Source organism: Homo sapiens, chromosome 13 (genome assembly GCF_000001405.40).
Source record: "Homo sapiens chromosome 13, GRCh38.p14 Primary Assembly".
NCBI lineage: Eukaryota > Metazoa > Chordata > Mammalia > Primates > Hominidae > Homo > Homo sapiens.
This window is the reverse complement of record NC_000013.11, coordinates 89,534,606-89,548,067: the sequence shown is the minus strand read 5'-3', so window position 1 is coordinate 89,548,067 and position 13,462 is coordinate 89,534,606. Positions and strand designations below refer to the sequence as shown.

The 13,462-nt window shown below is 37.7% G+C and overlaps 1 pseudogene; it reads left to right on the top strand.

The window, feature by feature from the left end:
* On the top strand, positions 872-1,705 carry HSPA8P2 (heat shock protein family A (Hsp70) member 8 pseudogene 2; annotated as a pseudogene).

The following is a 13,462-nucleotide window of genomic DNA, read 5'->3' as shown; positions in this document are numbered from 1 at the left end:
TAACCTGGGAGGCAGAGGTTGCAGTGAGCTAAGATCATGCCACTGCACTCTAGCCTGGGCGACAGAGTGAGACTCCATCTCAGAAAACAGAAAACAAAAACAAAACCCAGAATTTATGACAAGAGTAATTAAACACATATAAAATCATACATATCACTGTGTTGATGCATACTGTTCTGAAATTCTCTGTACTTGATTAAAAAAAAAACACCAAATGCACATAGTGTAACTTTACACGAAGGCTCTTTTCTTCATCCTCATGGCATCCATTATGGCACTTTCTGCTGAACCTAAACAGCTCATCTCCTTGTTAAAAGAAAGTTTCTAGTGGAGAGTACACAGGATATCTACTAACTAAGGCAGGACACTATGTTTGATGTCTAGATAGAGACAAAAATACACATAGAGGGAGGTAGGAGTTTATAGACAAAAAAGTAGAGTATTTGGTATCATATGAATCTAAATATTAATTTGGGTCTACCAGTTACTTATGTTATGCTTTCTTCATCTGTAATATTGGGATAATACTAATCGACTTTTAAAATATTAAGCACAGTGCTTTGCATGTGGTAGGGATTTAACATTTTAAAATGCTTACATTAAGATAGTATTTTAGTCAAAGCTGTGCCTTTGAAATAGCTAGGCATCCTGTCATAGGTTACTAATATAAGTCAGGCATACTGTGAAATGCTTCTGGAAGGAGTTTCAGGTTTGTAAGACCGAGGATTCCATCTTTTAAATTTACTACCCCCAGCAAGAGTCATAGAAAGGAACATATCTATATTCTTTTGTTTTTTGACAATTATTGCATTCATGGCAAGTATCTAAATATTTATTCAATAAGAAAAAGATCCATCTTTTCTTAGAAAACATGCCAAAAGGAAATGCTGTTGGCCCTGATCTTGGATCTACATATTCCTGCAAAGACACACCCCACTGCAATAAAAGGGAGTAGTGCATGCATCAGAATTACTGCAAAAAAAAATTGCCTTTCCTGACACAGAATTAGTGATCAAAATCAAAATTGTGAACCTCACCAATTGTAGTTTTTGATGCTATACATCTGAGTGGAAGCAAATTTGACAGTGTAGTTGTCCAATTAGACATGGAGCATTAACTGCTCATTGCGATGAAGAAGGCAGGATATCTTATGTGGAGTTAGAGAATGGCTTAGATGAAGTACAAGGGCAGAGTTATAGACTTTTTTAAAGGGTAGTTTTATAATGGTTCTGACAAAAATGAAAGAAAGCACAAAAATCTCTCTTTGGAAAACACAGATGCTGTCATCTTCATACCAGCTATTTTTTTTTTGTTAATGACCTCTAGCTTAACTTCCAAACATACTAAAACCATCGCTAGTTTTATGTGCTCAGAGACATCAATGAGCCAATACCATTGATTTTGCTTATGGCTTGGTGCCAAAAGAAATGTGCTGTATTTGATATATCCATTCTCACTATTAAAGAGGTTATCTATCAAATCTACATCTGAGGACATCTACATTGATGCAGGAAATTTTGATTAATGAAGCTCCCTCATCACAAAGTAAAATGAAGCACACAGTGACATTAGTGAGAAAACTAGGGCTGTCAGTTTTCTCTATATTGTCTGTGAAGTTGCTAAGCTCAGCGTTTCTTACAACATCTGGGCCACAACTGATACCGAGCTCCTCTGTGAAGGGATTTACTTCTGGACCCTTATCACTCCACCCTTATCCAATTCTATGTACTTTTTCCACTTCCTCTTAATATCTGGATAAACATAGACTTGTGGTAGCAATTGCACTGAACAAAGAGAATATTTAGTTTTCCTTCAGTTCTAAATATAGACTGCATGAAAATAACTTCACATAGTATAGGAATATAACGAAAACTCATTTTCTGTTTGAATTAGCCATTTCTGTTTGAATTTTTCCCATGGATAGCATTTAAGGACACTGACAAACACTGCATAGAATTTTACAACCAGATATCTGTGAGAAATTGTGATTTATTTTCCCTACCGAGATATACTATACCCCAAACCCAGATAAAGTGTCAGAATTTAATAGAAATGCATACTAGAATCAACAAAAGTGAGTACAATGATGCTTCTTGAAGGTTCATGATAACATGATAACCCTTTCCCTAATAATGTATGTTAATATGTAGGTGTGTGTGTGTGTGTGTGTGTGTGTGTGTGTGTTGGGGGGTGTGGCGATGCAGAATAATCTTCTTAGAGCTGAACTCTCATCCACTCTCACATGGTTTTGGTTTTCCAGCATTAACTTTGTAAGAGGTTCTTTTCATTCATTCTTTTTTCCTCTTTTTTTTTTTTTAATTCTGGGGAATTTGTTGACATAGTGCCTTCAATAACCCTAGCCCCTAAATATTATTTATTTCCTTACATTCACTGGTAGTGTTAGTAAATAGAAAAGTCATATTTTTCTGAATATTGGTTATAACTTGTTTGGCTATAATGTATCCAACACATTTTACTGTGATATGAAAAAAATAATAAAATTATTATGTGTCAATTTAGAATCTGCTTTTTCCCAAATTTATTGATAATGCTTTTCTGAACCCCTTCAAATTTAACTAAATTTTAAAGATATACCTCCAGGTAGTACATAATCCTGAATATAGTGGAATATCTGCAAACACAAGTCTTTGCAAAGAGGCCTGAGTTTCAGCAATTTTCCATGGCACCTCTAAATTTTGAAAAACTCATTGTATAAATGAATGTGTTTATCCACTTTCCTACTCTAAGAGTATCTGCTAAACTGAAACTGAACTAGCTTCCTACTAAGCAATCTAGGGCATTCTGTATATAACAGAATTTAAACAAACCAATCTTTTGCAATAATCTGCACACATATTAATTTTCTCTGATTTTATCTGCCCTATAACAATACTCAATTAACATGGGCTTGGTACTTTGAGATAATACTATTAAGTAGCAATTCTTTAATGAGATCCTTCAAATAATTGACTTTCCTTGACGAAAATAATTACTGTAGAACACTGCCCAATCATTCTGGGCAGTGAAAATGTTAGATGAAACTGCCACTCTAGCATAGGTTATTTCACATCTCAATAATGAAGGATAAAAAATGGCTCTCAGCTAAAATTTTGTAGGTATTGTAGAATTATAGGAGCTAAAGCTATTCAAATCAGACCTTTTGTCTTTTAATCAGCTAGTGTAAGACAGAAGTTGCCTCATACTGCCTTGCAGCCTCTATCTCCTGGTTTCCCAGGATGCACTAAACGTGTAGTTCAATTTAAAGTAGTTACCAGTCACTGGCTGAAACCACCAAATCATGAACCAAACCTTTAAGTGGAAGGAGCTAGTCCCTTTAATTCTGGCAACTTTTGATAGATTAGTAGTGTTGAATAATATTCAATAGCAGTGTACTGTTCAGAAATTCTCTCATCTCCAAAACCACTACACATAATTCCAAGTACACTATAATACCCCCATGAATAGATGGGCCTCTTCTTAAAATTTACATAATCCTAGTCCTATCAGAGTACACAATAAAACATTAATACAAATGTATTCATTTTCTTTAACAGCTCTATAAAGTGATTTGATAAATTGATTACAGGGTTTCTTATACCTTAGTTATTTGGGTATAACCTAAGTCCTTAGCAACTCCACAAGCTTTGTATAATTTTACTTCTTCAAAACTCAATTAGAGTTTGAATTTCTGGATCTGCAGAGAATGTCCTATTTGCATTTGCTTCCTTTTCCTAATACTACTTCTTCATTGTCTCCACATGTTTCTATTGTCATTCTACACTAATATTTCTATCTCCTATTAAAATAGAATAAAACAACAACTAATGAAACAAATAAAACTTGCCAAATATCCTTAAAAACTCAGCAATTTCCATGACACTTCTTTGGGTTTATAAATTAGGCAGCACCAGCACCCTTCTGTGAATTTCCTCCTGGCAGATTCTGCTCCCAGTAAGAAGACACAGCAACTTTACATCCCAAGGGTCTACAGGACTAAATAAATAAATGAGCAAACATCTCTTAAGTTGCAGTTTGCTGTTTTTCTCAAACAACTGGGAGAGTAAAATACATTTAATGCTACACAATTACTTTTGGGGGGCTACTTTTTCAAATGATTTATACACAAAAATGATTTGCATTTCTTTTGCTACATAATCTTGAGCTTATTCCAAATAAACAAAAAAACCCTTCACTCCTACCAAGGTCACACTAAAACAGGGCATGCTAATTGTTTTTCTCCATTTACAGGTTTCATTTTGGGGTTGCAAACTGTTGGTAAGGAAAAAGACCAAGGGAGATTGGTAGGAGTTGTATCATGTTGGTAAAGGTGAAGGCAATATCCATGATTGTAGTAAATTTTACTGGAATGGAAAACCAAGGGCTTGGCTTTATTTATAGCTGTCTACTACATTTTGTACTTATTAAAAAGTAAAATTAACCAACAACTAAAGTTCAGATATTTATTTTCAGATGGGTGAGGTTTTCAGTTTCCTTTGACTACATCTCACTTATTTATTTTATTATTTTTATTTCTGTCCTGCTGCTTGCAGGACTCAAAACAAATTTTCCTTTTTTTTTTTTTTTGAGATGGAGTCTTGCCCTGTCGCCCAGGCTGGAGTGCAGTGGCGCGATCTAGGCTCACTGTAAGCTCCTCCTCCCAGGTTCACGCCATTCTCTTGCCTCAGCCTCCGGAGTAGCTGGGACTACAGGCGCCCACCACCAAGCCCGGCTAATTTTTTTTTTTTTTTTTGTATTTTTAGTAGAGACGGGGTTTCACCGTGTTAGCCAGGATGGTCTCGATCTCCTGACCTCATGATCCACCCGCCTCGGCCTCCCAAAGTGCTGGGATTACAGGCTTGAGCCACCGCTCCCGGCCAACAAATTTTCTTAAACATATTTTCTTTGTCTATAGAAAGAACATTACATTTTGGTTTACACAAAAATTCAGTACTATGAAGTTTGAAAACAATGAAGTGAATATGAGAAATTTTCTAAATGGAAGATGTAAACATTACAATCCTTGGATTCTATTCAAGCTAAGTATGAGTTTATTAACCAACAGAATTCTTAACTGAGATGAGGCTGACAGGCAGTCATAAGATGTATAGAAACATAATTATTAGCAGTTTTTAATTAAATCATTTTGCTTCCTTCGAAAGAGTTATTTTATTTTATTACACGTGCTACTTTAAGCAATTTCAATCTCTTGTAAAAGTAAGTCAGCCAGGCGCGGTGGCTCATGCCTGTAATCCCAGCACTTTGGGAAGCCGAGGCGGGTGGATCACGAGGTCAGGAGATCGAGACCATCCTGGCTAACACAGTGAAACCCCGTCTCTACTAAAAATACAAAAAATTAGCCGGGCGTGGTGGCGGGTGCCTGTAGTCCCAGCTACTTAGGAGGCTCAGGCAGGAGAATAGCATGAACCCGGGAGGCAGAGCTTGCAGTGAGCCTAGACCCCGCCACTGCACTCCAGCCTGGGTGACAGAGCAAGACTCCATCTCAAAAAAAAAAAAAAAAAAGTCAATGCTCAATTTTTTTTTTCCTGCAGTTAAACTCTCAGCACAATTCCCTGAGTAGACAAAAAGAAGTACAACCATAGACTTATTGTTGCTAAGAGAAAGAAAGCATGGGGAGGGACAGATAGTTAACTAGACGCAGCCACAAAACACTCCTCACACACACACACACACACACACACCAAAAAAACCCACAAAAATATTGAGTAATCCGTCACACTTAGAGGAGATTTTTAAGGAGAAAACACTGAAAGTCAACAGAGAAGTGCTACAGACACTGAGGTTGAAGACGGAGGAAGCTGAGACGCCTGCGTGGAGTTGCTGAATGCCAGGACCAGCTCCTGGTCCTGAACAGGTTCTAAGGAAGGGTTGAGTGAAAGAGCTCTTGGGTACTACACTACTGCTGTGGACCTCTGGGATCCTAGCTACAAGAGATCCCATTACCCCCATAGGCATTCGTATTGACAAGGGGAACTGCCTGGAGAGTGGGCAGAGGCAGCTCAAACCTGTACAAAGTCCTGAAGGTTTTATGCATAGGGCTGCTACAGCCAAATGCGATCGTAGGTGCCCATCTTTCAAGGCTATCTTGCTCTGAATGACTCTAGTCCCTGCTGAGCTGGGCTGGGAGAGACAAGGGATGCCTTTCCTGCAAGACTGATCTGATTTGCATGCCCCCTTGTCTGCCTGCCCCTCCCAAAGTCTGTGACTGGCTGCTCCCACAAGAGTGGGCACACAGCACAACTTTCACTGCCCCACCCGAGTGTTTTGCCAGTGGCCTGAGAGCAATTTGACCCCTCTAGCACAGTGAGTGCTCAACCCCAAGGGATGAGACGACACAGCCACAGGCCTGTGCTCAACCCCTCACTCATCAAGCACACTGCCCAGGGATATTGAACTGAAATCTGTGGCCTGAGCTTGAGGCAGGGAGGTGCCTCACTCTCAGAACTCTGAGAAAAGTTAGGACTGGGTTTGTGCACTGGGGCACTAGAACTAGGCATCTCTCCCTCTGCAACACAACTCAAGAAAGGGTGTAGCCTGTTGGCCAGCCACAGCTTCTGTCCAAGAGAGCTCTGCGGCCCAGAATACCTGGAACAGCCCAGCACTCTTGGCACAGGATTTCTTAGGATAAAATTAGCTTGTTAAGCCTGCTCCTGGGAAAGACATTGAAAGGAAATCCAGGCAGGAGAGCACAAGCTAGGTGGTCCCCACAACCATCTGCTGGGCAAAACACCCCAGGCCATTGGTGCCACACCAGCTTCACACTTCCAACACACTGCAGTGCCTGGGGATCCTCCTCCCTTGACCCACTGTATCTCTAGACCACCCACAGAAATACCACACAACATACTTTGACTCTACCAAGCTCAGAGGACCAACAGATCCCTAGGGAGTTGCCGGCCTAATGGTGACCTACCTTCAGCTCAAGCTGCCCCTATGGAATGGGGAAGGGCAGCCCACCAGGGTCCCGTTTAGGGCTAAGTAAAGGTAGGAATGGTTCCAGTGATTTCCGGGGGTTCCCCCAAGGCCTAGGAGCAGACATGGTGAGGGGGTCATCTCTTGCCCCCTCTCCCTATCCCCAGAGCACTGCCGCAAATGAACTGGAATACAGAAGTGGCACGTGGCTGTGTGAGAGCCTCTCTGCTGGTCTTTACACTTAAATACCACCTGATGGATTGCACCAAAAAAAAAAAAAAAAAAAAAAAAAAAAATGCCTTCAGCATGCATCACCTGTGAAACCAAATGCAAGAAACTAGCCACAATGAAGGAACCCATACAGAGCTTTGGCCCTTTGAAAACACCCAGAAATGAAGCCAATAGACTATTCACAACATATGCCACAATCAAACCCTCAAGGGAAAAAATAAAAACAATAAAAAACAAAAAACCCACCCAAATGACAGCAACTTCAAAAAGAAAAAGAAACACCAGCCTTCTCAGATGAGAAGAAATTAGCTGTATTTTTAGTTCTTAGAGAAATCTCCAAACTGCTTTCCACAGTGGCTGAACTAATTTACATTCCCACCAACAGTGCATAAGCATTCCCTTGTCTCTGCAGCTCCTCCAACATCTGTTGTCTTTTGACTTTTTAATAATAGCCATTTTGACTAGTGTGAGATGGTTTCTTCTTGTGGTTTTCAGGTATTTTTTTCACATGCTTCTTGGCTGCTTGTATGTCTTCTTTTGAGAGGGATCTATTCATTTCTTGCCTGTTTTTTAATGGAATTATTTTTAAGGTTTTGCTTATTGGTTTATTTAAGTTTCTTATAGATTTTAGATATTAGACCTTTGTCAGATATAATACATAGTTTGGTAATATTTTCTCACATTCCGTAGATTGTCTGCTTATTCTTTTTATAATTTATTTTGCTGTGCACAAGAACGTTGGCAATTCAAATAGTCATAGCATTTCTTTACCTCCAAAGGATTCCACAAGCTCTCCAGCAATAGATCCTAAACAGATTGAATTGCCTGAGACAAGAGACATAGAATTCAGAGTCTGAATGGCAACTAAATTCAAGAGAAAGTTGAAACCCAATAGAAGAAAGCCAGTAAAATGATCCCAGAGCTAAAAGATGTTATAGCCATATTAAGGAAGAACCAAACTGAATGTGTTTGGAATTTAAAAATTCACTATAGGCATCTCAAATACAACTAGAAACCTTAGCAACACACTAAACCAAGCTGAGGAAAGAATTTCAGAACTCAAGGATGAGTTCTTTGACTCAATTCAGTGAGAAAATAATAAAGAAAAAATAACTTTAAAAATGAACATAATCGTCAAGAAACATGAGATTATGTAAAAACACCAATTCTGTGACTCACTGGCATTTCTGAGAGAGAAGGAGAAATAATAAGCAAATTGGAAAACATATCTGAGGATATAGGTCATGAAAATTTCCCCAATTGTGCTAGAGAGGTCAACATACAAATTCAAGAAATTGAGAGAACCCCTGTGAGATACAATATAAGATGATCATCACCAAGACACATAGTCATCAGATTCTCCAAAGTCAATGTGAAAAAAACATCTTAAAAGCAGCAAGAGAAAAGGGTCAGATCACTTACAAAAGGAACCCCATCATGCTAACAGTGGATTTCTTAGCAGAAACCTTACAAGCCAGAAGAGATTGGGAGCCTATTATTAGCATCCTTAAGGAAAATAAATTTCAACCAAGAATTTCATATCCTGCCACACTAAACCTCATAAATGGAGGATAAACAAAATACTTTCCAGACAGCAAATGCTAAGGGAATTTGTTCCCACTAGGTGAGTCTTACAAGAGAGCCTTAAGGAAGTTCTAAATATGGAAGCAAGAGAACGATACCTGCTACCACAAAAACCCACTTAAATACGTAGCTCACAAATCGCATAAAGCAACTACACAATAAGGACTATGAAGCAACCAGACAAAAACATCAAAAAAAACCCCCTCACATAGCAATATTAATCTTGAATTTAAATGGTCTAAATGCTCCACCTAAAAAGCACCGAGTGATAAGTTGGGTAGAAAAACAAGACCCAATTGTCTGCTGTCTTTAAGAGATCCATCTCACATGTAGCCATACCCACAGGCTCAAAGTAAAGGAATGGAGAAAGATCTATCATGCAATGGAAAACAGAAGAGAGCAGGGGTCATGATTCTTATACCAGATTAAACAGACTTTAAACCAACAATAGTAAAAAGGACAAAAAAGACAATATGTAACGATTAAAGTTTCGATTCAGCAAGAAGACTTTACTAATTATATGCACACTCAACATTGGAGTATCCAGATTCATAAAACATGTGATTTCAGACCTATGAAAAGATTTACACAGGCATGTAATAACAGTGGGAGACTTCAACATGTGTTACATATATACCATTGAATACAACATAGCTATAAAAAAACAAAATTATGTCCTTTGCAGCAACATGAATGTAGCTAGAGGCCATTATCCTAAGTGAACTAATGCAGAATTGGAAAATCAAATACTCCATGTTTTCACTTACAAGTGGGAGCTGAACATTGGGTACACATGGACAAAAGATGAGAACGATAGACACTGAAGACTATAACTAGGGAAGGGGAGGCTCAAGGGTTGAAAAACTATCTATTGGGTGCTAGGCTTACTACCTGGGTGATGGGTTCAATTATACACCAAATTTCAACATCACACCATATATCTTTTTTTTTTTTTTTTTTTTTTTTTGTGAGATGGAGTCTCCCTCTGTCACCCAGGCTGGAGTGCAGTTGCGCAATCTCGGCTCACTGCAAGCTCCACTTCCGGGGTTCACACCATTCTCCTGCCTTAGCCTCCTGAGTAGCTGGGACTACAGGTGCCCACCACCACATCTGGCTAATTTTTATATTTTTAGTCAAGACGGGGTTTCACCATGTTAGCCAGGATGGTCTCCATCTCCTGACCTCATGACCCGCCCGCCTCGGCCTCCCAGAGTGCTGGGATTACAGGCGTGAGCCACCGAGCCCGGCCTCATCACAGCATATATCCTTATGACAAACTTGCAGATATGCACCCTGAATCTAAAATAAAAGTTGAAAAGAAGAAATAAAACCAAAATCAAAGTGTTTAGTATATATTTAAAGCTTTATATCTAAATATGGTATTAATTGATATGCTTTATTATCTACTTGATTTTTATTATCTTACATGAACTTTCTACACATTGACTTCTCTCTGATAGTTCTCATGCAATTTTCTGTGATAATAAACATGTTTATGCTTATTAATTACTAAGGACATTATTACAGTGGAAATTATCATAGCTAGAACTCAAAATCAAATGCATATATTCTATTTTTAAAAACTGTTTTCCAGGGCCAGGTGCAGTGGCTCACGCCTGTAATCCCAGCACTCTGGGAGGCCAAGGCAGGCGGATCTTGAGGTCAGGAGATCGAGACCATCCTGGCTAACACGGTGAAAGCCTGTCTCTACTAAAAATACAAAAAAATTAGCCGGGCATGGTGGCGGGCACCTGTAGTGAGCTACTCAGGAGTAGTCAGCTACTCGGGAGGCTGAGGCAGGAGAATGCCTTGAGCCCAGGAGGCAGAGCTTGCAGTGAGCCGAGATCGCGCCACTGCATTCCAGCCTGGGCGACAGAGCGAGACTCCGTCTCAAAAAAAATTGTTTTCCATGGGGATACTGGTTAATAATTCTGAAACCATTATACATATATACTAGAATTAAACAATTAAATAAATGATTGGCAGATAGTAGAAGCCAGGTTTGTTACTTTTGGAGTAGGAGGTAACAGATGAGCAAAGGGTAGCAGCTTGGACAATCATGGATTAATTGATTAAAGTGGAGACATCACTATGAATTTAATGTTTAGCTTAATACAGACACAAATGGTTATGCATAGGAATATTTCTAGATATGTATAAAAACTTGGGTTAGTATACACTTATATATTTTCTTGTTCTATGCCTTTCTAGTAAGAGGGACTAAAAATGAGGATACACAAGCTGTGATGAGCAAAACTAGCACACAGATGTTGGTTTCTAATACCATTTTCTAATGCTTTTACAGTCCACTACCATTACCTAACTGAATACAAACAAATCACTATCACATTTTACTATAATATTTCAAATGCAATTATATGTAAATGTTAGGTGTTTTGTTTGCTTATTTGCATATTGTATGGCAATAAAAGCAAATAGCTGAGAATTAACTTTGTATTAACATTACAGTGCAGAGTTAGTATTCATGAAAAATAAAAGCCAGGAGACTGAACTTTCCTTAAAAACATACAAACTCAGGAAATCCCAAGTAGATTTAGTGAGGGCTTGGGGTTTCCACAGGGTGGAAATAGGGCTTTAAACCAATTGTATCTGAACCTAACTAGAATGACATCTGATTCATCATCTACTTAGAAACACAAGAAACAGGAATATAGTGATAAAAGCAAGTCATGAGAAGTCAAGATAACTAAAATAGAATGTTAAATATGGAAGAAACAATAGGTTTATTTAAGCTAGAACTTTCATTATAAAAATGAGAAACCAAAGTTTCTTGTGAAAGTAAAACCTGGGTGGGCACAGTGGCTCATGCCTTTAATCCCAGCACTTTGGGAGGAATTTGACTTTGTGACTGCTTGAGACCAAGAGACAAGCATGGACAACATGGTGAGAACGCTCTAAAAAAAATTTTTTTTTTTTAAATCAGCTGGCCCTGGTGGCACATAGCTATAGTCCTAGCTACTTGGGAGGCTAAAGTGGGAGGATTGCTGGAGCCCAAGATTTCAAGGTTGCAATGGTGTGATCTCACCACTGCACTCCAGGCTGGGGGACAGAGCAAGACTCTGTCTCTAAAAGAAATAAAAGGAAAAGAAAGTAAAACCTAAGGTGGGCATGAAGAATGGCTAGGAGTTACCCATAATGAACAGAGAAAGAATTTTGAAAACAAAGAAATATTATGTTACAAAGAACTGGAGGTGAGAAAGTATACATGGTATAAATAGGAACAAAAAGCTAATATTTAGAAAAATTTCCAGATTTTTTATGACAATAAAATAGATGAAAGATATCTTTTATGATCTTACTAACATCATAATTGAATTTGTCTTCTCAATGCTGAAAGAGTATATCAGAAATGCAAGAAACATGAATAGATTATTTCCTAAAAAATAATTTCAACCTTCAAGACACCGATATATATATATATATATACTATACATATATATATATACTATACATATATAAAAACAAATAATTAGGCAGTGTATATACTATATCATATATATGTCATTCATATATAAATATTAATGCATACAAATATATATACACATGCATATATATCTATATAAATGGTAGAAAGAAATTTGTCAAGAAAGATATAGAGACCAAAATCTCAAAAAAGCAAAATAGTTCTGTGTGGGCAGACGGTTAACAGGACCCTTTCCTCTCCTATGTAAAGTTTTGATCTTTGATTAACTGCTTAGCCCTTTTCCTCTAATAATACCTTGATAAAGTGTTATATCAATTCAATAACTATGCAGCATTGTTTTTGATGAAAAGACATCTGATGAGAAAACTGCATCTGGCCTAGAGGAAGCAAAAATACTTGACAGTAGCCATAGCTTTGAGTTCCTCTGGGCGTAGTGATTCCTATAACTGGGACTGCCACTTATGAAAGCCCTAAGGCTGTTTTTAGATACAGTGGCTTCTCTTAGAAATAAGACATCTAAGCCAGGGCTATTTCTGAAAAGGAATTATTGTAACCATTGAAGTAGATATTGAAAAATATCATAAACTTAGATAACATATACTTATCACTCAATTACTAATAAAGGAAAGTACATATATCTTGACTCCATAAAAAGAAGTGTCAATACAGAACAATGTGAACAAGCTTCCAACAAATATTTACTGAATCTCTGTGTCATGAACTAGAAATAAAATACATATACATTAATTTTTAAAGTATATAATTAGGATATAAAAAATGAGACAATTTTTTTGAAAGACAGCCGAAATTCACAGTAGATAACTTACTGCTTTCTTGCACACAAGTACATGGCTATAAGTTTACATACCAGTATATAATGAAGCTAAGAACATCACTCATGGTAAATATTTTATAGCACGAGAAATTGCTTAGGTAAAAAGTAGACAAACATATTTTTAAATTAAATACAAAGGCATTCCTTGTTTTATTGTGCTTTACTTTATTGTGCTTCATAGCTTGTTCCTTTAATGCCCTGATAAAGTGTTATATCAACTCAGTAAGTAAGCACATAGATATTGTGCTTTTTACAAATTCAAGTGTTGTGTTAACTCTGCATTGAGCAAGTCTATCTGTGCCATTTTTTCAGTAGCATTGGTTTACTTTGGGTCTTTGCATTGCATTTTGATAATACTCAGAGTATTTCAAACTTCTCTATTATTATAGATGTGACCAGTCTTTGATGTTCCTATTGTGATTGTTTTTGGTATGTCA